The following is a 26,039-nucleotide window of genomic DNA, read 5'->3' on the forward strand; positions in this document are numbered from 1 at the left end:
GACGCTTTGACCTTTGGAAAGTTCTTTGAGCTCTCTGAGTTGCCTTTAATTTTGTGCATCAATTGTAAAATAAATGGGTTGAATTAGATTATCTCTAAAACTCTTGTGAACTCTCAAAACCTATGATTCTACTCTACCAAAGAATTAGAACTTGCATCACATGAACTAAGTAATGATAAACTATACCCAACAGTCTTAATTAACCCATTCATTTCCCTTTCCAATTCCTTTCAATAGAGATTTTTTTTTTGGTTAGGAATGGGCATTATATGCGCATGAAAAATACTACTTGAAGCTACTTCTAATTATTAACTACTTAAGTATTTAAATTTAAAAACCAAGTTTTTCTTAAGTTTTTAAGCTCAACATGGAAGATTCAGCTTCAACTTACTCATTTATTTAAAAGATTCAATTTACCTAAAATTTAGCTATATTTAAAAACTGAGTTAAATTATTTTACACATTTTAAACGGCACTTACAAATTTAATATATCTAATTTTCTCAAATGCCAAATGCCCATCAGGGCAAACTTTAAAATGTAATGAGAAAGCCTGGCACGATGGTGCTGTAGTTAGTCCAGCTACTCTGGAGGGTAAGGTGGGAGGATTGTTGACCAGGAATTCTAGACCAGCCTGGACAACATAGTGAGACCCTGCCTCAAAAAATGAAAAATAATTTTTAAAAAATCTAGTAAGAAGAATAATTTAAAACACCCAAGCTCTTCTTTTAACTCTAATAATCAAGCTTATAAATATAGTAGTTAAGTTTTATCAAACATTTAAAACCTTTACAAACTTGACTAAATTTTGTTATTCATTTCAAATTAATATCAGAAATCTAATGTGTTACATTTTCTTAAATGTCTCAAATGTTTCAATAACATTAGAATGTTAATATTTAACTAAAACATGTCATCATAATAGTTAAAAGAGTTATTACTAAAATTAGGCTTTAAAATTAGAATCTACAAAAGGCTGTTTGTTATTTTGTGGTTCAGAAAGGGTCACTCTGGAAATAGCCTTCAGGATACAAAAATAACCCATAATCTCTAAACAGAACTAAAATCTATAATGGTAGAATGAGCTCAAGTTTTAGACCAAGAAAACTCAGCTGGACTGAGAGAGTAAATTCCAGGGATGGAAAGATAAATGCCTTTGCAAACCCGTAGAAGTATAAAAGTAAGCATAGAGACAGTGTAGTTAATAAACCTATAGTGGTATACTTTTGTGCTAATTTTAGGACCTCGGAGACAGGATATGTGAAAATCCTCTTAATGTTGTAAAGCATTTATACATTACTACATATTATCTTTAAATTCATGGTATCTGGCTTACTTTACATTGTAATTTGGTTAATTCTGAGAATGTATAGTTTAAAAATGCCTGGATGTTAATGCAGGGCTAGTGTTTTGCTGAAACCCAATCTGGACCCTACATTTACACAGAGCGACCATCTGATGTCAGTGGGTGATAGTTGCAGTAACAGCAACAGCAGGCACTGGAATTGGAATTGGCTAAAAGACAGACTCTTTGGTGGTTCCCTGCTCTCCTTTCCAGAGACTGCTGCCATTATAGTGGTTTGGCTGCTAAAAGGCAACAGCTGGGACTTTGTTCAGTTTTATACAGGGCCAGTTTCTTTTCTTTTCTTTTCTTTTCTTTTTTTTTTAGTACTTTTAAGTTCTGGGATACATGTGCAGAACGTGCAGGTTTGTTACATAGGTATACACATGCCATTGTGGTTTGCTGCACCCATCAACCTGTCACCTACATTAGGTATTTCTCCTAATGCTATCCCTCCCCTAGCCCCCAACCCTGACAAGCCCCCGTGTGTGATGTTCCCCTCCCTGTGTCCATGTATTCTCATTGTTCAACTCCCACTTATGAGTGAGAACATGCGGTATATAGTTTTCTGTTCCTGTGTTAGTTTGCTGAGAATGATGGTTTCCAGCTTCATCCATGTCCCTGCAAAGGACATAAACTTTTCCTTTTATATGGCTGCATAGTATTCCGTGGTGTATATATGCCACATTTTCTTTATCCAGTCTATCATTGATGGGCGTTTGGGTTGGTTCCAAGTCTTTGCTACTGTGAATAGTGCTGCAATAAACATACATGTGCATGTGTCTTTACAGCAGAATGATTTATAATCCTTTGGGTATATACCCAGTAATGGGATTGCTGGGTCAAATGGTATTTCTAGTTCTAGATCCTTGAGGAATCGCCACACTGTCTTCCACAATGGTTGAAGTAATTTACGCTCCCACTAACAATGTAAAAGTGTTCCTATTTCTCCACATCCTCTCCAGCATCGGTTGTTTCCTGACTTTTTAATGATCGCCATTCTAACTGGCGTGAGATGGTATCTCATTGTGGTTTTGATTTGCATTTCCCTAATGACCAGTGATGATGAGCTTTTTTCCATATGATTGTTGGCCGCATAAATGTCTTCTTTCGATAAGTGTCTGTTTATATCCTTTGCCCATTTTTTGATGGGGTCATTTGTTTTTTTCTTGTAAATTTGTCTGAGTGCCTTATAGATTCTGGATATTAGCCCTTTGTCAGATGGATAGATTGCAAAAATTTTCTCCCATTCCCTAGGTTGCCTGTTCACTCTGATGATAGTTTCTTTTGCTGTGCAGAAGCTCTTTCATTTAATTAGATCTCATTTGTCAATTTTGGCTTTTGTTCCCATTGCTTTTGGTGTTTTAGTCATGAAGTCATTGCCCATGCCTATGACCTGAATGGTATTGCCTAGGTTTTCTTCTAGGATTTTTATGGTTTTAGGTTTAATGTTTAATTCTTTAATCCACCTTGAGTTGAGTTTTGTATAAGGTGTAAGGAAGGGGTCCAGTTTCAGTTTTCTGCATATGGCTAGCCAGTTTTCCCAACACCATTTATTAAATAGGCAATCCTTTCCCCATTGCTTGTTAGTGTCAGGTTTGTCAAAGATGAGATGGTTGTAGATGTGTGGTGTTATTTCTGAGGACTCTGTTCCATTCCATTGGTCTATATCTCTGTTTTGGTACCAGTACCATGCTGTTTTGGTTACTGTAGCCTTGTAGTATAGTTTGAAGTCAGGTAACGTGATGCCTCCAGCTTTGTTCTTTTTGCCCAGGACTGTCTTGGCTATATATGGGCTCCTTTTTGGTTCCATATGAAGTTTAAAGTAGTTTTTTTCTAATTCCGTGAAGAAAGTCAATGGTAGCTTGATAGAAATAGCATTGAATCTACAAATTACTTTGAGCAGTATGGCCATTTTCACAATATTGATTCTTTCTATCCATGAGCATGGAATGTTTTTCCATTTGTTTGTGTCCTCTCTTATTTCCTTGAACAGTGATTTATAGTTCTCCTTGAAGAGGTCCTTCACATCCCTTCTAAGTTGGATTCCTAGGTATTTTATTCTCTTAGTAGCAGTTGTGAATGGGAGTTCACTCATGACTTGGCTCTCTGTTTGTCTGTTACTGGTGTATAGAAATGCTTGTGAGTTTTGCACATTGATTTTGTATCCTGAGACTTTGTTGAAGTTGCTTATTAGCTTAAGGAAATTTTTGACTGAGACGATGGGGTTTTCTAAATATACAATCATGTCATCTGCAAATAGAGACAATTTGACTTCCTCTCTTCCTATTTGAATACACTTTATTTCTTTCTCTTGCCTGACTGCCCTGGCCAGAACTTCCAATACTATGTTGAATAGGAGTGGTGAGAGAGGGCATCCTTGTCTTGTGCCGGTTGTCAAAGAGAATGCTTCCAGGTTTTTTTTCCATTTAATATGATATTGGCTGTGGGTTTGTCATAAATAGCTCTTATTATTTTGAGATAAGTTCCATCAATACCAGTTTATTGAGATTTTTAGCATTAAGGACTGTTGAATTTTGTCAAAGGCCTTTTCTGCATCTATTGAGATAATCATGTGGTTTTTGCTTTTGGTTCTGTTTATGTGATGGATTATGTTGATTGATTTGCATATGTTGAACCAGCCTTACATCCCAGGGATGAAGCCAAGTTGATCGTGGTGGAGAAGCTTTTTGATGTGCTGCTGGATTCAGTTTGCCAGTATTTTATTGAGGATTTTCGCACTGATGTTCATCAGAGCTATCGGCTTGAAATTTTCTTTTCTTTTTTTTTTGTTTTCAGGATGATGCTGGCCTCATCAAATGAGTTGGGGAGGAGTCCCTCTTTTTCTATTGTTTGGAGTAGTTTCAGAAGGAATGGTAGCAGCTCCTCTTTGTACCTCTGGTAGAATTTGGGTGTGAATCCATCTGGTCCTGGGCTTGTTTTTGTTGATAGGCTATTAATGACTGCCTCAATTTCAGAACTTGTTATTTGTCTATTCAGGGATTCGACTTCTTCCTGGTTTAGTCTTGGGAGGGTGTATGTGTCAAGGAATTTATCTATTTCTTCTAGATTTTCTAGTTTATTTGTGTAGAGGTGTTTATAGTATTCTCTGATGGTAGTTTATAATTCTGTGGGATCAGCGGCGATATCCCCTTTATCATTTTTTTATTGTATCTATTCGATTCTTCTGTCTTTTCTTCTTTATTAGTCTGACTAGTGGTCTATCTTTTTATCTTTTCAAAAAACCAGCTCTTGGGTTCATTGATTTTTTGAAGGGTTTTTCATTTCTCTATCTCCTTCAGTTCTGCTCTAATCTTAGTTATATCTTGTCTTCTGCTAGCTTTTGAATTTGTTTGCTCTTGCTTCTCTGGTTCTTTTAATTGCAATGTTAGGGTGTCAATTTTAGATCTTTCTCATTTTCTCCTGTGAGCATTTAGTGCTACAAATTTCCCTCTAAACGCTGCTTTAGCTGTGTCCCAGAGATTCTGGTATGTTGCATATTTGTTCTCATTGGTTTCAAAGAACTTATTTATTTCTGCCTTAATTTCGTTATTTACCCAGTAGTTATTCAGGAGCAGGTGGCTCAGTTTCCATGTAGTTATGTGGTTTTGAGTGAGTTTCTTAATCCTGAGTTCTAATTTGATTGTACTGTGGTCTGAGAGACTGTTTGTTATGATTTTCATTCTTTTGCATTTGCTGAGGAATGTTTTTACTTCCAATTATGTGGTCAATTTTAGAATAAGTGTGATGTGGTGCTGAAAAGAATGTATATTCTGTTGATTTGGGGTGGAGAGTTCTGTAGATGTCTATTAGATCTGCTCGGTCCAGAGCTGAGTTCAAGTCCTGAATATCCTTGTTAATTTTCTGTCTCGTTGATCTGTCTAATATTGACAGTGGGGTGTTAACGTCTCCCGCTATTATTGTGTGGGAGTCTAAGTCTCTTCGTAGGTCTCTAAGAACTTACTTTATGAACCTGGGTGCTCCTGTATTGGGTGCATATATATATTTAGGATAGTTAGCTCTTCTTGTTGCAGTGATCCCTTTACCATTATATAATGTCCTTCTTTGTCTTTTCTGATCTTTGTTGGTTTAAAGTCTGTTTTATCAGAGACTAGGATTGCAACCCCATACAGGGCCAGTTTCATGGGCATATGACCTGTGCTGTCACACAGGGCCAGGCACTTAGAAGGACCCCACACGTGATTTAATGCTCCATTGACACCATTTTGCAATTCTGAATAATTTTTTAACAAAAGCTCCTGCATTTTCATTTTGCACTGGGTGGGGCAAATTATATAACCAGCCCTGGCTTTACAGTTCATTTGGATTTTTGCTGCTTCTAGAAAAACAAGTGAAATTTACCTTTAGTTAGTTACCAGCCCAGGACTGGGCATTTGCAGAACTGCCGCGACCTGCTTCCCTGCTAGACTGCTCCCTCTCTTTAACATCCATCAGCTGGACTCACCAACTCCGGAAAACCTGCATGGGTCTATAGGGAGACCCCTGCTGAGCTGAATTTGACTTCACAGTATTACCATCCGTCACAACCTCGTGTTGTTATGGGTGTGGCAAGACTTCTGTTATGCCTGATTCCAGCCAGTTATATATAAAAGATCTCCTGCTCCAACCTGGCCCTACGTGGTGGGTAGCCTGGGCCCTGAGAATGTTTTCTTCTACAATGGACAGGCCAAAGGAGGACAGAGGGGGTTACAAAAAGATAATATCCATCAGAGGCAAAGAGTACTCAAAAGTGAACTTCTACCATTTCCACTGGATATTGATTAACTTCCCTGAGCCTCAGTTTCCTCATTCGTTTATGAGAGTAGCCCAGGAGGCATCTACCCCTCCCAACCCGCCAGGATTGCTGAGAGGACAGAGTACGCGTGCAAGGTTTTGCAATGTGCCAGAGCTTAGTAAGTGTTAGCACTTATGAAAACAGCGTTTATATATCATTTGGGTCATGGGACTCTTGGAAAACCTGATGATACCTATGGTTTCTTCCTGCCTCCGCCCCACCCCCACCTTCCAGCCTCCAAAAATGTCACCTCCAAAAAACAAATAAGGCAGGGCGCGGTGGCTCACGCCTGTAATCCCAGCACTTTGGGAGGCCGAGGCGGGCGGATCACAAGGTCAGGAGATCTAGACTATCCTGGCTAACACGGTGAAACCCCGTCTCTACTAAAAATATAAAAAATTAGCCGGGGCCGGGCGCGGTGGCTCACGCCTGTAATCCCAGCACTTTGGGAGGCCGAGGCGGGTGGATCACGAGGTCAGGAGATCGAGACCATCCTGGCTAACACGGTGAAACCCCGTCTCTACTAAAAATACAAAAAATTAGCCGGGCGTGATGGCGGGCGCCTGTAGTCCCAGCTACTCGGGAGGCTGAGGCAGGAGAATGGCGTGAACCCGGGAAGCGGAGCTTGCAGTGAGCCGAGATCGCGCCACTGCACTCCAGCCTGGGCGACAGAGCGAGACTCCGTCTCAAAAAAAAAAAAAAAAAAAAAAAAAAAAAAATTAGCCGGGCGTGGTGGCGGGTGCCTGCAGTCCCAGCTGCTCTGGAGGCTGAGGCAGGAGAATGGCGTGAACCCGGGAGGCGGAGCTTGCAGTGAGCCTAGATGGCGCCACTGCACTCCAGCCTGGGCGACAGAGCGAGACTCTGTCTCAAAAACAAACAAACAAACAAAAAACAAATAAGACTCGCCGACCCATGCCATAGATTGACGACCCTTGAAGGTGGCTCGTGTACCCAGGTTAAGCCACGTGTCTCTAAAATGTTCATTTAGGCGGCGCTGTGTTACCTGCGGGAATCCCCGACCTGCGGCTCCTGACCACGGGCCACCCCGCCCAGACCCTGCAGGCGGGCTCTCCACGAGGGTCTGCGCAGCCCCGCGGGGGTCCTGACAGGCCGAGCGACTGCAGTAGGAGGGGGCGGGCCCGGCTCTCGGTCCGCCCCCACGCCGGGCTCGGGGTGGGGGCTCGGGGCCTATTACGGGATGGAAGCTCCGGGTGTCGCGGGGGCGGGAGGAATTAAGGGAGGGAGAGAGGCGCGCGGGTGAAAGGCGCATTGATGCAGCCTGCGGCGGCCTCGGAGCGCGGCGGAGCCAGACGCTGACCACGTTCCTCTCCTCGGTCTCCTCCGCCTCCAGCTCCGCGCTGCCCGGCAGCCGGGAGCCATGCGACCCCAGGGCCCCGCCGCCTCCCCGCAGCGGCTCCGCGGCCTCCTGCTGCTCCTGCTGCTGCAGCTGCCCGCGCCGTCGAGCGCCTCTGAGATCCCCAAGGGGAAGCAAAAGGCGCAGCTCCGGCAGAGGGAGGTGGTGGACCTGGTGAGTCCGAGGGAGCCGAGCCGGGACCGCCGCGCTGGTGGAGGGGACCTGGCCGCGCGCCCCACGGGCAGGGCGTCAGTCTGGCTGTTGGGGGTGTCTGTCTGTACAGCTGTGTGTCGTGTGTCTTGCTGCGCCGGGGTGTCATGCTTTTTATTTACAGGTGAAGAAGGACCTGGTTATGCGTGCAGTGAGTCTTGGAACTCAGAGGGGAGACCAAAATGGGAGGCCATCGTGGAGCGGACATGCGATATGGGCCCGGTGGGTCTCCCCGAAGTACAGGGAGTCCCCCAATAATTTCTGGCCCCAGGGGGACCCCTTGGGAAGGGTGGGAGGGATAGGGCGGCAGTGAGAGTAGGATGAGGAGCTTGGGTACGTCCGAAGTGGACCTGGGAAAAACCCTGGCCTCGCTGATCACATGGACCTGGGCCTGGGCCAGGGCGGTGCAACGTGTCCTTTGTTGGGGCTGGTGGCCACGTCTGCCTGCGAGAGAGAATAACAACCCCCACAAAGCATCCGTCCAACTCTTTGTAACTTGAAGACTATGAGTCACGTTGGGTCATCTTCCTAGGGAGTATGGGCTGCAATTTACTTTGTTGGACAACCACAGCTGGGGCTAGGAATGGTTCAGAAGGTTTAAGGCCGGAAAGGGAAATGAAGGGGCCCGGCGCTAACCCTCTAAGGACCTGTTTTGCTTCTGTTTAAACCAAATGGGCAGTCTGTCATTACACACACCCTGGGTCTTCATATGTGGCCGCCAGGTAGGAGCATCACAGTCAAGCTACGGGAGAAAACAGTTTCCAGGAAACTGGAAATGAACGGCCCGAGTGCTTTCCAGGGGCTCATCTGTGGGAAGGTATGTTTGCTTAAAATCCTTCCCTCTAAAAATCAACAAACCCAGTGGAGGGCGGAGAGGTTCTCTGGCCTGTGGTATGAGGGAGCCTTTCAGAGCTACCGTAGTCCTTGGCATATTATAAACTTCAGTCTCACTTGCAGACAAACATGATTTACAGGCATTGCAAGACATAAGTTGGGGCATTTTTTTTTAATTAAAAAGAAAGTTTTGAATTTGTTAAGCTGCCATTTTAAACTGAGCTAATATACCAAGTTCCCTGGCAGCTAGTTCTGTATTGGATTCAAAAGTGCTGGGAAAAAAATTCCCGCCATTTCACACAGCACTTTTTGGTGGTAGGCTGTGTAATTTTGATCCACAAAAGGGGACTATGTGTTCAGGCAACAGTTCTATTTTAAGTGTCCAAATTATTAAAACTGTGCCAAATGAGTATGGTTCATGTGTAGTTTGCATTTTATGAGTCTGTAGTTATGATACACAAAATACCCATTTTTCCTGTGAAGCTTGCTATTTTCCCCCCTTCAAGGATTTACAGTACCTGTGGTTTCCCACAACTCTAGCCAGACTTGGAAAAGATTTTGCAGTCAGGCTCAGGTGCATCCTGTAGGTTGGATTTGGTTTTGCTGACAGAAGAAGTCCACAGTCATTAAGGTTTCAACAGATTCTATAAAGCAACTTCTTTGTATAGGATCTTTCAAAGCGTTCCTTTCAAGCTTCCACAAAGCTCTGCCCCCTGGTGGCCAGTGAAAGAAACAGGGGCGTATAAAAGTGCGCTTCCCTTCACATCTTTTTTTTTTCATTCCACAGACATTTATTGAGAGTACTAAGCATATGTTGGGTTAGCATTTTAAAGTAGAAGACTGATGTAACACCTGCGGAATCGAGTCAAGTAAAGTTATATAGTCTTTGAAATGTATCTTTTAGATGAAAAGGTGAATAAAAATTCCCAATATGGCACAATGGACATGTTGGGCCAGATAATTCTTGTGGGGACTTGTCCTGTCCGTTGTCGCGTGTTTAGCAGCATCGTTTGTACATACTAGATGCCAGTAGCAATCCCCTCTCCCAAGTTGTGACAACCAAAAATGTCTCTAGACATAGCCAAGTGTCCCCTGGAGGACAAAATTGTCCCCAGTTGAGATCCACTGATATATAATGAAGTAAAATTTAGTCTGTGTAGCATCTTGCCCTGAGGGGAATAATAGTGAAAAAAATCAAAGAATATCAGAAGCAGTCTTATTCCCATTTGAAATGTATGTCTAAACATTGTATATATCTGCTTGTGAGAGTGAATTAAATTACTAAAATAAAAATAAAGTCTAAAACACACCAAACTATTTTGAAATATTTTGCACTTTTAAAATGCTTTACTTTTTGTGTCTTTGAATACTTTTGTAATTGTTAAATGCTTTTTCTTTTCTTTTTTTTAACTATTTCTCTGACAGTAAATAAGTAGTAGTGTCTTTTTCTTCTTACAGTCAGGAAAATGGCGATGTCAAAGACTTAAAAAGTCATTTATCAAACCAAAACTCAAACTGGCGATGGAGACACAAATTGATTAGCAAGCATCAGTCTAATTATATAGGATTCTTCCCAGACAACTATTGGATTTTATCATCCAATCCCAGATACTGTAGTCAAAAGATAAGCTTTGAAGTTACTTTAATATCTAAGAAACTTTGTTTTTTGTTTTCATTGGGAAATATAGTTATACAGAATAATACTAGGCAACTTACACAAATAGAGGAAATGTTAGAGTAAACATTTAAATGGATTGCATTGGGTTTTGGAGTGTCTAATAAACGGCACCTTTGTTCCTAGCTGAACCAATTCAGGTGTAGACACAGGAATTAGACAGGTGGGGCACAGGATATCACCTTTACCACTGATCATACAGCATTGGCATGTATGGCTTATGTGTGCTAGGCTGGTGGGTTTGCTAATGCTCTCTTCCCCAGGTCTAAATCCTGAAAGGTCCACCCAGGGCAGTGGACACACTTACCCAGAGTTGCTGCCTTGCACTGGTCCTGGGGAACATAGGAATAATAATGGCTGACACATACAGTGTTTACTGTGTTCCAGGCATTGTTCTAAGCACATTTTATATATTATTCACTTAAATCTCATACAAACCCTATAAAGTAAGACTCTTTATTATTATCCACATTTTACAGATAAGGAAACAGGCACCAAAATGTTGAGTAATTTGCCCTATCTCACAGAGCTAATGTAAGGTGGAGCCGGGACAAAATCCAAAGAAACTGGCTCTAGAATCCATGCATTTAAATGCTACAAGATGTCCTTCTCCAAACAAACAGAAAATCATAGTCCTTACAGACAGTTTGACAGATTGTGGATGGTCCCCTATTGAGAACTAATGGTCACTTGAAACTGGGTCACTTACTGCTTCTCCTTGGGGAAGAGGGGTGGGATGAGAGGCCAGAAATGTTATCCAAGCACTGCTTCCCCCACTTAAAAACAGGGAGAAGCAGGGATTTTCATACCCAAGTTGGAGCTATTGCCAGTACAAGATAATTATTGACTCTTAAGATTTTATTTTATAATTATGTCCCTAGGAATTTATCTTAAGGAAATAATTCAAAAGAAGAAAAAGGCTGTATGGATATTTTCATTACAATAATATTCATAATAAAAAAAGTAGAAATAAACTATCCAAAAATAGTGCAATGTTTGCATAAAACTGTAAAAATCCAGGTCCCTTTGCAAGATACAGAGTTAGAAGAAAAAAGCAGAATATCAAATTATTCCCACCTTGGAATACAGCTATTTAAAATTGTGTATGCCTATAATGAGCAGAAGGGAGCAGGCAAATAATTTTGTCCTCCTCTGATGTGTGTGTGTGTGCGTGTAAAGTCTGTGCACTAAAAAATATGAAGGAAATCACAATATTTTAGAAATAATTTGAAAATGAATTCTCTGTAATAACTCATCTAGAACACGGGCATGTGGTATGAAGGGATTCTTGACTCCAAGGGCTCAAAATAAATGCATTTCTAATCATACTGAGTCTTTGACTCTTAAGTGGTGAGAGTTTTCTTTGCCTTTTCTTTCTCATTATAGTATAATGGAATGTGCTTACAAGGGCCAGCAGGAGTGCCTGGTCGAGACGGGAGCCCTGGGGCCAATGGCATTCCGGGTACACCTGGGATCCCAGGTCGGGATGGATTCAAAGGAGAAAAGGGGGAATGTCTGAGGGAAAGCTTTGAGGAGTCCTGGACACCCAACTACAAGCAGTGTTCATGGAGTTCATTGAATTATGGCATAGATCTTGGGAAAATTGCGGTAAGTTTGAATTATTTTAAAATTGAAGCAAGATTTAAGGGTTTTCATATTTTAGTGTTAATTTTTAGGTGACATTTTATTTTTTTTTAACTAAAAGACTTAAAAAAGAGAAGTAGGTAGCATGTGACTTTTAATTTAAAACTAATGAAAAAGTTTATAACATTTCAGAATTTCATAGAGATATTTCTAAGACAAATGCTTATCATTTTAACCATAGTATCTAAAATAACATACTTTTTAAAAATGCAAACAAAAGAGAGCATATGTGTCTGTGTTGGACAGTAAGCAACTTTCCAATCTTATCCTAAAGTAAATTTAAATTTAGTCTAAGAAATTCTGTCCTGGCTTCAGACATAAAGGTGGGAAAAAATTTCCAAGAAATTACCACATTGATCTGGAAGCAGAAGTCCATTGGTGTTTGTCTTTATTTAGGAAGCATGCCCAGCTTAAAACTGCTAAGCCTAAGAGAAGTGAAATGGGTTAGATGTGAGGTACTACAGTGATTATTTTAAGTTATTCTGCAACATTAAGGCTGAGTGGCAGAGAATTACTCAAAATAGCCTGTCCGGTCATGTATTTTGACTAATGTTTCAGTCACTTTGATTAGTGTTTGCTTCAAAAGTAATTGGCAAGTCCACTGGGATGGAAGAGAGTTGAAGAAGTTGATGCTATTTATAAGCCTCTTTTCTCTGTTGATGAACTCTGTACATGGTTCCATATTCACAACATATTACTTCATGATTTTACTGCTACCATCAAGCAATTACAAGAAATTTGTTTCATAAAACTCCAAGATTTTAAGATGCACTCTGTGTATAATCCCTGTTCCTTATCTCAGCTCTTTCTGCTCTATTAAGAGTTTGAGACTGTCTTGTTTTGTGATAGAATTTCCATGTAGCTTCCATAGTTATGATGACTATGACCTTTTCTGTGTTCATGTGTGTTTCTAGAAAACATTTTGTTAAAATGTTCCCTAGTTATTTAAACATCTGACATTGATAGACTGGTTGTTTATTTATAGTTGTTCATCAAAAGTTACTGAGTTCTTTCTAAAAGCTATCCTTGTGGGTTCTGAATTATTAATATGTTTTCAAGTTCCTTTTAGCAATGGTCAGGATGGGTATGGTAACCTTCTATGAGTAAAGGATAATAGGTCCATGAGCCAATAGACAGACAAATTTGCATAGACCAATGAGAAAATAAGCAAACAAGAAACCTGGGCCTTATCATTGCATCATATAGATAAAGACTAAAAACCCTGCCTATCCTTTACTCCCTCATACTGTTTGCTGTTGCTCGAAAAGAAACACGTCAAGAGTCAATACGAATGGACAGAACTAGTCTAGAATGTAAGTTCCATGAAGGTAGGGATTCTGGTTTGTTAACTGCTCTATCTGTACCATTTAGCACATAGTTGGGGCTCAGTAAATATTTTTTGAATGCAAAAAAAAGAGGAAATATATAAATTGATTTTATCAAAAGTACTGAAGGCTAGCCTTTTTTGATAAAACTGAAAGATACCCTCAATGGGGCGAAAAGTTCTGAGAAAGCTGCAATTTGATTTTCTTAGAGTTCCTATATCAAAATCTCTTACCTAGCTTGCAGAAAATCTCCCTCCCTCTATAAAAGTTAAGCTTTATTTTTGTTTATTTTAATTTTTTTGAGACAGAGTCTCACTTTTTTGCCCAGGCTAAAGTGCAGTGGCACAATTTCGGCTTACTGCAACCTCCACCTCTTGGGTTCAAGCGATTCTCACGTCTCAGCCTCCCGAGTAACTGGGATTACAGGCGTGCGCCACCACACCCAGCAAATTTTTTGTATTTTTAGTAGAGATGGGTTTCGCCATGTTGGCCAGGCTTGTCTCTAACCCCTGGCCTCAAGTAATCTGCCCCCCTCGGCCTCCCAAAATGCTGGGATTACAGGTATGAGCCACCACACCCGGCCAAGTTAAACTTTTTAAATACATTTTGGGGAAAAGGATAGTTAAGTAAAATTCACCAGTCTCAAAAGCTCTTTTTAATTAAAATAGAAAATGTTAATTAAATCCCATTTCTATGTTTGTGACAGGAGTGTACATTTACAAAGATGCGTTCAAATAGTGCTCTAAGAGTTTTGTTCAGTGGCTCACTTCGGCTAAAATGCAGAAATGCATGCTGTCAGCGTTGGTATTTCACATTCAATGGAGCTGAATGTTCAGGACCTCTTCCCATTGAAGCTATAATTTATTTGGACCAAGGAAGCCCTGAAATGAATTCAACAATTAATATTCATCGCACTTCTTCTGGTATGTAAAATTGTGACATTGCAAGATGTGCCTCAGATCTAAGTAAGATTAGTTTTGAGTCCCACTATCATGTTGGTTCACTAGCCTACTGTAAAGGGACCTCTAGCAAGTTTTCAATGCATGATTCTCCACCCTGGGTTGTACTTCTGCATTACCTCTCGATCTTTTAAAAATACATAGATGCCTGGGCCCTATCTCTGATGAACTAACGCAGAATCTCTAGCAGTAAGACCACAGCTTCTGTGTTTTTTAAAAGATCCCCTGGTGATTCAGATGTGCCCCAGGCTTGAAAATCAGTGAGTTAAATGACATGGCAAAATAGCCAATAATGCCATAGAGCAGTGGTCTTTCAACCTTGGCTACATATTGGGCTCACTGTAGGAACTCTGGGAACTTTAAAAAGAAATGCCTATCCCACCCTTCCAGGGAGTCAGATTTAACAGGTCTGGGTGCAGACTTGGCAATGGGACTTTCGAAGTATCTCTTGGTAGGCTGGGCGTGGTAGCTCACACCTGTAATCCCAGCACTTTGGGAGGCTGAGACGGGCAATCACTTGAGCCTAGCAGTTTGAGACAAACCTGGGCAAGAGGGCGAAACCCCATCTCTACAAAAAAAATACCAAAAAATTAGTCCCAACTACTATGGAGGCTGAGGTGGGAGGATGGCTTCAGCCCAGGAGGCAGAGGTTGCAGTGAGCTGAGGCTGCCCCACTGCACTCCATCCTGAGTGATGACAGAGTGAGATGCAGTCTCAAAAAAAAAAAATCTCCTGGTCATTCTAATGTTCAGCCAAAATTTAGAACCACTGGCTCAGACTAATAAGGAGACTGATTTTTCTGCCTTATCCTTTAAAAGGGTGGATACTGTCTGCTGAATTTGTAAAAGACAAAATTTTTATACTGTTTCTGTATTCTGTTTCCACCTAGTATGAGGAAAAGACATTCAGTGGTCACTTAAACTGTCAGAAAAATATCATTGGGTTGTTTTATGTACTTATGTATTTGTTTATTTATTTATTTATTTTAGAGACAGGGTCTTGCTCTGTTGCTCAGCCTGGAGTACACTGGCAGGATCACAGCTCACTGCAACTTTGAACACTTGGCCTCAAGTGATCCTCCTGCTCAGCTTCCCAAAGTGCCATGATTACAGGCATGAGCCACCATGCCTGGCCTGTTTGTTCTATTTTAAGATTCATTAAAGAAAGTTTAGAAAATACCAGAAAATAGAAGAGTTAAAAAAAAAAAAAACTATTAATCTCATCCTCCAGAGACACCACTATCAATATTTTGTTGTCAGCCATTTTGGTTTCTTGAGTTGCAGTGGATGGCACACCATGGTAGCATCAGAAAGTGTACATACTGTTATATTCATATGCCTTTTCATAGAAGAAAAATAAGAAACTATACATATGGTTAGCATCATTTCCTTGATTTCCTGAAGAGATTTTTCACTAATCTTATAATTAAAAATGGTTGAGGGGAGGGAGGAGATAATCTCACTCTTCCCTTCCCTCAAAATAACATTTCAGCATTCTTTAGGGCTCCAAGTCAGGTACTGAACCCCAAAACCAATTTATTCCTAAGCAATCAAGGGCATCCCCTCCACATTTTCCCTCAGATCCCCACAATATCCTTGAAACATAAAGAAGAGATTTTAACCCCCTCTCTTTGCATATTGAGAAACCCAGGGAAATACAGCGTCTTACACGGGACAGTAGAATCAGCGTTCAGGAGAGCAGAAACCAACGCCCTGTTCTCTTGGCTCCCAGTTCTCTTTGTAATCAGATTAAAAACCCTCTTCACTAAGTACTTAGATACATGTGCTGGAAAGGAAGAAGTGCTTCCCATCTAAGAAATAGTCTTTAAAATAAGAAGAATCTAGATATTAAAAATAAAATTTGATTAGGAAGTGATATGTTCAGACAGTCGTTGATATAAGCAACTTACATTCTATTCTGTTATCTTTAAGGTGTGTGTTAATATTTTGCTAATGTAAGCCCTTAGGCCCAGGAACTGTGTCATATACACGCATATACTTTATAAATAATTTAACACAGCATTTCCCAACCATTGTGTGCAAACTCATTTGGTGTGATCAGTTGGGTGGAGTGTCACAAGTAATTTGTTATTAATAACAGTTTTTGTATTATTGTGGATTAAAAGTTACCTCTGTAACAGAATCACTTTTTCTGACATACTGATAGTCTCTCTTAAGGGAAAGGAAAGGGGTGCACTTATAGTTAGCATATCAGAGGATGGCTTAAAGCCTTGATATGCCCATGGGAGTTTGACAAATGGTTGTCATCTGTTACATGGTCTAGGAGGAAAACAGGTTGAGAACTCCCAATCCAACATATCGTTTTTACTTAACAAGCTATCATACTACATTATCACAGCAAAAATGTTCATTCAACATTATTTCATCTGCTAAAGACCATGAAGTGACCATTTGACTGTCCTCAGATGAGGCTGATGCAAGACCCAAGCTTGTCTGACGTCCTTAGGCCGTAGGGGGAAGTGAACAAGTTTCTAGGCCATGGCTGTCAAGACCCTGGGAAAACATGAGCATTTGTAGGCATTTTCACTTGGCATGGTACTAAGAATACCAGATTAAATGGGATTGTGGGCCTACTATTTAGTTCCCCCAACTTGGGAAGGGGACTGAACCAGAGACAGGTCCCTGGATTCTGAGAGACTTGCTCTGGATTTACTCCTGTGATAGTTTATGTAAGCAGATTGCTTCAGACCTACATCTCTGGGTCTCAGCAGGAATGCACTAACCTCAATCAAATAGGAAGCCTAACCAGTCACATAAAGTCATCCACTATATCAGGATTCATTTTCTTTTTTTTCTTTAGTATTATTATTATTATACTTTAAGTTCTAGGGTACATGTGCATAACGTGCAGGTTTGTTACTTATGTATACATGTGCCATGTTTGTTTGCTGCACCCATTAACTCGCCATTTACATTAGGTATTTCTCCTAATGCTATCCCTCCCCCAGCCCCCCACCCCACAACAGGCCCGGGGTGTGATGTTCCCCGCCCTGTGTCCAAGTGTTCTCATTGTTCAATTCCCACTTATGAGTGAGCAAACTATCACAAGGACAGAAAACCAGGATTCATTTTCTTGAATCTGCCAACCTACAGTTTCTTCTCCAGCTTTACACATACATCAAAGGTACCATGTCTTTTTGCCTGCTAAAATGACTGAGGGATTTTTTTTTTTTAATTTAAGAGAAGACTTTGGTAAGATGGAATGCAACTTGTATTGTTAGTAGGTGAAAGTCCAGAGGACATGTGAAAAGGTGCATAATTGTAATGCATAAAAACACAGAGGAAAAGCAGGGGGGATTTTCTGTTTTATGTTTTTTCACTATGAGGAAATTCTGTGTAAAATGGGATTCCCAGATTGAAGGACTGGTGTAATGATTATGTAGAATTTCTTTTAATGTTATAAAAGTTATTTCTTCTGGCTGGGCACGGTGGCTCATGCCTGTAATCCCAGCACTTTGGGAGGCCGAAGTGGGTAAATCACGAGGTCAGGAGATCGAGACCATCCTGGCTAACACGATGAAACTCCATCTCTACTAAAAATACAAAAAATTAGCCAGGCGTGGTGGCAGGTGCCTGTAGTCCCAGCTACTCAGGAGGCTGAGACAGGAAAATTGCTTGAACGTGGGAAGCGGAGGTTGCGGTGCACTGAGATTGCGCCAGTGCACTCCAGCCTGGGTGACAGAGCGAGATTCCATCTCAAAAAAAAAAAAAAGTTATTTCGTCTACTTGTCTAGCATCACTTATCAGCAGATAAGTGTCGGAAAGGGCTTTCTTTTTTTAAAAAAGACTTGCATATCAAATGAAAGTCTTGGCTTTTAAAAGTATATATAGCCTTTCTTTGTTTATTCAAATAAATTGCTTTTTTGTTTTAAGCTATCTCTGTAAGTATACAAATTCTGGTTTTATGCTTGAAACCTGTAAGAACACTGCTTGTTAAACTTATATCATAGAATGGATATGTATACATCTTTTAAAAATATTTATGTACCAATTTAGAAAAAGAGGACTTCATTATAAAAACCTTATCAAGTATTAAAATTTTTAAGTAGCATTACATTAAACAGAATTACAAACTAGCTTTCTGAAGTTATAAAATTTAACTAAAGGATTTTGCTCTTTGTTCTAAAGAAAGATGTAACTTTCATCTTTGTCTTGCAGTGGAAGGACTTTGTGAAGGAATTGGTGCTGGATTAGTGGATGTTGCTATCTGGGTTGGTACTTGTTCAGATTACCCAAAAGGAGATGCTTCTACTGGATGGAATTCAGTTTCTCGCATCATTATTGAAGAACTACCAAAATAAATGCTTTAATTTTCATTTGCTACCTCTTTTTTTATTATGCCTTGGAATGGTTCACTTAAATGACATTTTAAATAAGTTTATGTATACATCTGAATGAAAAGCAAAGCTAAATATGTTTACAGACCAAAGTGTGATTTCACACTGTTTTTAAATCTAGCATTATTCATTTTGCTTCAATCAAAAGTGGTTTCAATATTTTTTTTAGTTGGTTAGAATACTTTCTTCATAGTCACATTCTCTCAACCTATAATTTGGAATATTGTTGTGGTCTTTTGTTTTTTCTCTTAGTATAGCATTTTTAAAAAAATATAAAAGCTACCAATCTTTGTACAATTTGTAAATGTTAAGAATTTTTTTTATATCTGTTAAATAAAAATTATTTCCAACAACCTTAATATCTTTAAATTAATTGCCACTAAAATTGGAGTTTCTAGTCTTTATATCTGAAAAATTTAACATAAATCCTATTTGTGTTTATTCATTTAACACTCATTTATTAATTTTTAGTACATGTATAATATGGTTCCATTTTTAAAGGAATACAAAGAGAAAGTGGTATTTATATGTCAGGAAATATATCAGCACTTTAGGAATTTTATCTTTATTTAACAAAGGGTAACAAAGGATGGATTCTATCCTCAAATTCCTTACCATTTGGTAGAGAATATCAGACATATATAGAAATAACAATAAATCAAAAGTTAATGTGTTGATTACTATAAAAGTGTTGAAGTGGGTGATGTGGTTCAAAGGAAGAGTGATCACTTCTGGCTGAGGTGATCAGAAAAAAATCCAAGAAGGCAGTATACATGTAAGATTAGTGAAGTTAAGTAAATTCTGGGCTTGAATTGGAAGTATCAGTATGAACTCCTAAAGTACTTTATCTTAAATAAAGCTACAAAACAGCAACAAAATCTAGCTTTGTTTACCGAAAAGGCCCAGAAACAATGACCAATCCAGTAATGCCCAGAATGTGATCTCTACACTCCCATTTCCTACTAAAAGGAACTAAAAATCCTTGAAGAAATGGGAGATTTCACCTATGGGGCAGGAAATGTACAATATGAGCATGGAACATTTTGTCATACTGGAAAACAAGGCAGCTATGAAAAACAACTCAAAAGGATCCAAGAGCCAACATTTGAATTGGTTCTCACTGTTAAAGATGACACAATTTAAGCATCAATAAAGAGAACTGCAATGGTTTAAAACATCAAATATGTTTAAATACATGAGTTCATAATATATTAAAATAATTGGTCAACTTACAGTATGCCAGCAAACCAACTTGTTACTTTGAAAATTGGTAAATAGAACCAAACATTTCTTCTGCTTTCTCTATATGTACTGTATCTCTGAGTAACCAAATTGTTGATGAAGGGAAATTTCTCTTTCTAAAAGTGTGTGTGTGTGTGTGTGTGTGTGTGTGTATATATATACACACACACACACACACACTATATATGTCTTATAGTAACATCACATGTTGGTGGTATAGCTTGTAAATGAAGAAAGAATGATAAAATTCCAATATTACCTTTTTTCGACCCCTCATGAAGGGATCTAGTAATGAACATCAATGACTGATAATATTCCCAAAAGAGATAGACCAGCAATGTGCCTCTAATGAAAGTATATAACAGCACTCAGGAAGTAGTTTTCCAAGAAACAATCAATTCAGGATCTGATTTAGCCTCTAGTTCCAACCATTAATTTGTGGGAAATACACAGGATAAAAGAGCATGTTCATTGACACCACAGGGATATAATCAGCAAAATCCAGACGGTGGGAAACTTGAAAGACAATTTGGTTTCTTTAATAAATAATTGTAAGAAAAGTGAGGCAGGAAAAAAACTTATAGATTAAAAGAAAAGATCATATCAACCAATTGCAATGTTTGGACTTTATTTGGATACTGATTCAAGAAAACTATAAACACAAAAACAAAACTTCCTTGAGACAGTTGAGGACGTGAACATTGGCTGGATAGTTGATGATATTAAATAATTATTTATGTCTGGTAATGGTATTGCTCTTTTTAAATAGTACTTTTATCTTTTCAGTATCTTTTAGAGATACTGAAATATTTAAGATAAAGTGATGTGACATCTTGAGTTTGCTTCAGAATAATCTAGAAATGGGAAGTAGAAGGGGAGTCTAGATGAAATAATATTGCAGATAGGTAGATGTTAACCAAGATGGGTAAAAATTTTGACAAATGGGGATAGTTGTTAAGAATAGTTTTGGTAGAGGCAACAACATTAGTAAAAACACTGGGGTATTAATAAAATAGAAATAATGTTTTTAGGTGGGTTGAGCTTAAGTAATGTGTGTAGAAACAATAAGAGACAAATGTGGTGTGCTTATTTCAGCAGCACATATACTAAAATTGGAACAATACAGAGAAGATTAGCATGGCCCCTGTGCAAGGATGACACGCAAATTCATGAAGCGTTCCATATTTTTACTGGTACCATTCCTTCTGAAACTATTCCAATCAATAGAAACAGAGAGAATCCTCCCTAACTCATTTTATGAGGCCAGCATCATCCTGATATCAAAACCTAGCAGAGACATAACAAAAAAGGAAAATTTCAGGCCAATATCTCTGATGAACATCAATGCAAAAATCCTCAATAAAATATTGGCAAACTGAATCCAGCAGCAATTAAAAAGCTTATCCACCATGATCAAGTTGGCTTCATCCCTGGGATGCAAGGCTGGTTCAACATACGCAAATCAATCAACGTAATCCATCATGTAAACTAAACCAATGATAAAAACCACATCAATAGATGCAGAAAAGGCCTTTGACAAAATTCAACACCACTTCATGCTAGAAACTCTCAATAAATTGGGTATTGATGGAACATATCTCAAAATAATAAGATCTATTTATGACAAATCCACAGCCAATATCATACTGAATGGGCAAAACCTGGAAGCATTCCCTTTGACAACCGGCACAAGACAAGGATGCCCTCTCTCACCACTCCTATTCAACATAGTATTGGAAGTTCTGGCCAGGGCAATCAGGCAAGAGAAGGAAATAAAGGGTATTCAAATAGGAAGAGAGGAAGTCAACAAATTGTCTCTATTTGCAGATGACATGATTGTATATTTAGAAAACCCCATCGTCTCAGCCAAAAATTTCCTTAAGCTAATAAGCAACTTCAACAAAGTCTCAGGATACAAAATCAATGTGCCAAACTCACAAGCATTTCTATACACCAGTAACAGACAAACAGAGAGCCAAGTCATGAGTGAACTCCCATTCACAACTGCTACTAAGAGAATAAAATACCTAGGAATCCAACTTAGAAGGGACGTGAAGGACCTCTTCAAGGAGAACTATAAATCACTGCTCAAGGAAATAAGAGAGGACACAAACAAATGGAAAAACATTCCATGCTCATGGATAGGAAGAATCAACATCATGAAAATGGCCATATTGCCCAAAGTAATTTATAGATTCAATGATATCCCCATCAAGTTACCACTGACTTTCTTCACAGAATTGGAAAAAACTACTTTAAACTTCATATGGAACCAAAAAAGAACCCACATAGCCAAGACAATCCTGGGCAAGAAGAACAAAGCTGGAGGCATCACGCTACCTGACTTCAAACTATACTACAAGGCTACAGTAACCAAAACAGCATGGTACTGGTACCAAAACAGATATACAGACCAATGGAACAGAACAGAGGCCTCAGAAATAACACCACACATCTATAACCATCTCATCTTTGACAAACCTGACACTAACAAGCAATGGGAAAAGGATTACCTATTTAATAAATGGTGTTGGGAAAACTGGCTAGCCATATGCAGAAAACTGAAACTGGACCCCTTCCTTACACCTTATACAAAACTCAACTCAAGATGGATCAAAGACTTAAACGTAAGACTTAGGACCATAAAAATCCTAGAAGAAAACCTGGGAAATACCATTCAGGACGTAGGCATGGGCAAAGACTTCATGTCTAAAACACCAAAAGCAATGGCAACAAAAACCAAAATTGGCAAATGGGATCTAATTAAACTAAACAGCTTCTGCACAGCAAAGGAAACTATCATCAGAGTGAACAGGCAACCTACAGAATGGGAGAAAATTTTTGCAATCTATCCATCTGACAAAGGGCTAATATCCAGAATCTACAAAGAACTTAAACAAATTTACAAGAAAACAACAACCCCATCAAAAAGTGGGCAAAGGATATGAACAGGCGCTTCTCAAAAGAAGACATTTATGCAGCCAACAGACAAACGAAAAAATGCTCATCATCACTGGTCATTAGAGAAATGCAAATCAAAACCACAATGAGATATCATCTCATGCCATTTAGAATGGCGATCATTAAAAAGTCAGGAAACAGGGTGGGCGCGGTGGCTCATGCCTGTAATCCCAGCACTTCGGGAGGTCTAGGCAGGGGATCATGAGGTCAGGAGATCGAGACCATCCTGGCCAACATGGTGAAACCCCATCTCTACTAAAATACAAAAAATTAGCCGGGTGTGTTGGCACGTGCCTGTGGTCCCAGCTACTTGGGAGGCTGAGGCAGGGGAATTGCTTGAACCTGGGAGAAGGAGGTTGCAGTGAGCCGAGATCGCGCCACTGCACTCCAGCCTGGTGGCAGAGGGAGCCTCTTCTCAAAAAAAAAAAAAAAAAAAAAAAAAAAAGGAAACAACAGATGTTGGAGAGGATGTGGAGAAATAGGAACACTTTTACGCTGTTAGTGGGAGTGTAAACTACTTCAACCATTGTGGAAGACAGTGTGGCAATTCCTCAAGGATCTAGAACTAGAAATACCATTTCACCCAGCAATCCCATTACTGGGCATATACCCAAAGGATTATAAATCATTCTACTATAAAGACTCATGCACACGTATGTTTATTGCAGCACTTTTCACAATAGCAAATACTTGGAACCAACCCAAATGTCCATTAATGATAGACTAGATAAAGAAAATGTGGCACATATACACCATGGAATACTATGCAGCCATGAAAAAGGATGAGTTCATGTCCTTTGCAGGGAGATGGATGAAGCTGGAAATCATCATTCTCAGCAAACTATCACAAAAACAGAAAACCAAATACTGCATCTTCTCATTCATAAGTGGGAGTTGAACAATGAAAACACACGAACATAGGGAAGGAAACATCACACACCAGGGCCTGTCAGGGGGTGGGGGGCTAGGGTAGGAATAATAACATTAGGAGAAATACCTAATGTAGGTGATGGGTTGATGGGTGCAGCAAACCACCATGGCATGTGTACACCTATGTAACAAATCTGCATGTTCTGCACACGTACCCCAGAACTTAAAGTGTAATTATATATATATATATGAAAAATAAATGTACATCAGTGCAAAAAAAAAAAAAAGTCAAATCTGGTAAAGGAGGTTGAGAAGATACTGTGGAGGCCATGAATGCCTGAGTTATTTGTAGAGCCATGGAGAGCTATTGACAGTTTGGTGTAGAATAACATTATATAACAAAAACTCATTCTAACAGCTGAGTTAAAAAACAAAAGTTAGAGGTATAAAGAGTAGAGGAAGGCCAGCTTACGAGGCTGTTAAGACAACAAAAAGACAAACTAGTTAGTCAAAAAATGTGCAAAAGAAATGAACAGGCATTTCCCCAAAGAAGATATATGAAGAGCCCACAGACACATGAAAAGATGCTTAACATCATTAGTTATTAGGATAGTGCAAGTTAAAACTATATTGAGATACCACTTTACATCGACCAAGATAGTTATAAACAAAAAATGGAAAATAAGTGCTAGCAACGATATGGAGAAAATGAAGTTCTGATACATTGCTAGTGGGAATACAAAATGGTACAGCCATTGTACCCAGAAGAACTGAAAACAGTGGTACAAACATAATCTTGAACATGAATGGTCATAGCAGCGCTCTTCACGATAGCCAAAATGTCAACACAATCCAAATGTCCATCAACTGAAAACAACTGATAATCAAAATGTGGTGTATGAATACAATGGAATATTATTCGGCCATAAAAAAGGAATTAAGTGTCAATACATTCTTATAGCATGGATGAACCTCAAAAATATTACAGAGAGACACAGAAGGCAACAGGTGGTATGATTCTATTTATATGAAATGCCCAGAAAAGGCAAATCCACAGAGACAGAAAGCAGATTAGTGATTGCTAGGAGTTAGGGGAGGGAAGAATGGAGAATGATTGCTTATTAGGTATGAGATTTCCTTTTGGAATAATATAAATATCCTGGAACTACAGAGTGATGATGGTTGTACAACACTGTGAATATACTAAATGCCAATGAATTGTGCACTTTAAAGTGGCTAAAATGGCAATTTATGTTAGATACATTATCCACAATAAAAAAAAAAGGTTACTGGAAAAAAAGATTATGGGCTTTGGTGATGACCAAAGGAATAAAAGAGAGAATAGATTAGAGAAATGTCAAAAGTGCCACTCTGAAGAATACACCTCTGCCTCCTGGGTTCAAATGATTTTCCTACCCCAGCCTTCCCAGTAGCTAGGATTACCAGTGTGAACCACCACACCTGGCTAATTTTTGTGTTTTTAGTAGAGAGCTGGTTTCACCATGTTGGCCAGGCTGGTCTCAAACTCCTGACCTCAGGTGATCCATCTGCCTCAGCCTTCCAAAGTTAGTTCTTGTGTAATACCCTAAAAGCACAGGCAACCACAGCAAAAATGGACAAATGGTATCACATCAAGTTAAAAAGCTTCTGCACAGCAAAGGATACAATCAACAAAGTGAAGAGACAACCCGCAGAATGGGAGAAAATATTTGCAAATTATCCATCTGACAAAGGATTAACAACCAGAACACATAAGAAGCTCAAACAACTTTATATAGAAAAACTAATAATCCAATTTAAAAATGGGCAAAATAATTGAATAGACATTTCTTGAAAGAAGACATACAAATGGTTAACAGGCATATGAAAATGTGCTCAATATCACTGATCATCAGAGAAATGCAAATCAAAACTACAATGTGATATCACCTCACCCCAGTTAAAATGGCTTTTACCCAAAAGACAGGCAATTAATGAATGCTGGTGAGGATATAGAGAAAAGGGAACCCTCATACACTGTTGGTGGAAATATAAATTATTAGAGTCACTAAGGAGAATGGTTTGGTGGTTTCTCAAAAAAACTAAAAATAGAACTATCATATGATCCAGCAATCCCAGTGCCAGATACATAACCAAAAGAAAGGAAATCAGTATACTGAAGAGATATCTGCACTCCCATGTTTATTGCAGCACTATTCATAACAGCAAAGATTTGGAATCAACCTACCTGTCCAACAACAGACAAATGGATAAAGAAAATGTGGTACTTACACACAAAGGATCCTGTCATGTGCAACACATGGATAGAACTGGAGTACATTACGTTAAGTGAAATAAGCCAAGCACAGAGAGACAAACTTCGCATGTTCTCACTCATTTGTAGCAGCTGAAAATTAAACAACTGAACTCATGGAGATAGGCAGTAGAATGTTGGCTACCAGAGGCTGGAATCAGTAGTGGGGAGTGGGGGGA

General features: G+C 39.3%; 1 protein-coding gene and 1 pseudogene across 3 annotated transcripts, besides 6 other annotated features; both read left to right on the forward strand.

Annotated features, from left to right (window-relative positions):
• Positions 7,056-7,850: an enhancer, noted in NCBI's record as "H3K27ac-H3K4me1 hESC enhancer chr8:104383426-104384220 (GRCh37/hg19 assembly coordinates)". NCBI's record gives its function as "activates a minimal SCP1, AML or CMV promoter by ChIP-STARR-seq in naive H9 embryonic stem cells {active_cell/tissue: H9 hESC(naive)}" and the evidence as "EXISTENCE:reporter gene assay evidence [ECO:0000049][PMID:30033119]".
• Positions 7,280-7,399: a silencer, noted in NCBI's record as "silent region_19458". NCBI's record gives its function as "represses an Ori minimal core promoter by ATAC-STARR-seq in GM12878 lymphoblastoid cells {active_cell/tissue: GM12878}" and the evidence as "EXISTENCE:reporter gene assay evidence [ECO:0000049][PMID:35858748]".
• On the forward strand, positions 7,396-18,847 carry CTHRC1 (collagen triple helix repeat containing 1). Of its 3 annotated transcripts, none has more exons than NM_138455.4 (4): positions 7,396-7,664; positions 11,596-11,817; positions 13,885-14,101; positions 18,316-18,847. In NM_138455.4, exons 1-4 carry the CDS (start codon positions 7,515-7,517, stop codon positions 18,456-18,458), a joined length of 732 nt encoding a protein of 243 aa, NP_612464.1. In that variant the 5' UTR covers positions 7,396-7,514; the 3' UTR covers positions 18,459-18,847. The 3 variants fall into 3 exon arrangements, with proteins under 3 accessions (NP_612464.1, XP_011515126.1, NP_001243028.1); NM_001256099.2 differs by lacking the exon at positions 7,396-7,664 and adding an exon at positions 8,365-8,517; XM_011516824.3 differs by lacking the exon at positions 13,885-14,101.
• Positions 7,851-8,644: an enhancer, noted in NCBI's record as "H3K27ac-H3K4me1 hESC enhancer chr8:104384221-104385014 (GRCh37/hg19 assembly coordinates)". NCBI's record gives its function as "activates a minimal SCP1, AML or CMV promoter by ChIP-STARR-seq in naive H9 embryonic stem cells {active_cell/tissue: H9 hESC(naive)}" and the evidence as "EXISTENCE:reporter gene assay evidence [ECO:0000049][PMID:30033119]".
• Positions 9,142-9,271: an enhancer, noted in NCBI's record as "active region_27789". NCBI's record gives its function as "activates an Ori minimal core promoter by ATAC-STARR-seq in GM12878 lymphoblastoid cells {active_cell/tissue: GM12878}" and the evidence as "EXISTENCE:reporter gene assay evidence [ECO:0000049][PMID:35858748]".
• Positions 9,282-9,331: an enhancer, noted in NCBI's record as "active region_27790". NCBI's record gives its function as "activates an Ori minimal core promoter by ATAC-STARR-seq in GM12878 lymphoblastoid cells {active_cell/tissue: GM12878}" and the evidence as "EXISTENCE:reporter gene assay evidence [ECO:0000049][PMID:35858748]".
• Positions 11,330-11,899: an enhancer, noted in NCBI's record as "OCT4-NANOG hESC enhancer chr8:104387700-104388269 (GRCh37/hg19 assembly coordinates)". NCBI's record gives its function as "activates a minimal SCP1, AML or CMV promoter by ChIP-STARR-seq in primed H9 embryonic stem cells {active_cell/tissue: H9 hESC(primed)}" and the evidence as "EXISTENCE:reporter gene assay evidence [ECO:0000049][PMID:30033119]".
• Positions 20,819-20,925, forward strand: RNU6-1011P (RNA, U6 small nuclear 1011, pseudogene; annotated as a pseudogene).

The sequence above is a fragment of the Homo sapiens genome, chromosome 8 (genome assembly GCF_000001405.40).
Source record: "Homo sapiens chromosome 8, GRCh38.p14 Primary Assembly".
NCBI lineage: Eukaryota > Metazoa > Chordata > Mammalia > Primates > Hominidae > Homo > Homo sapiens.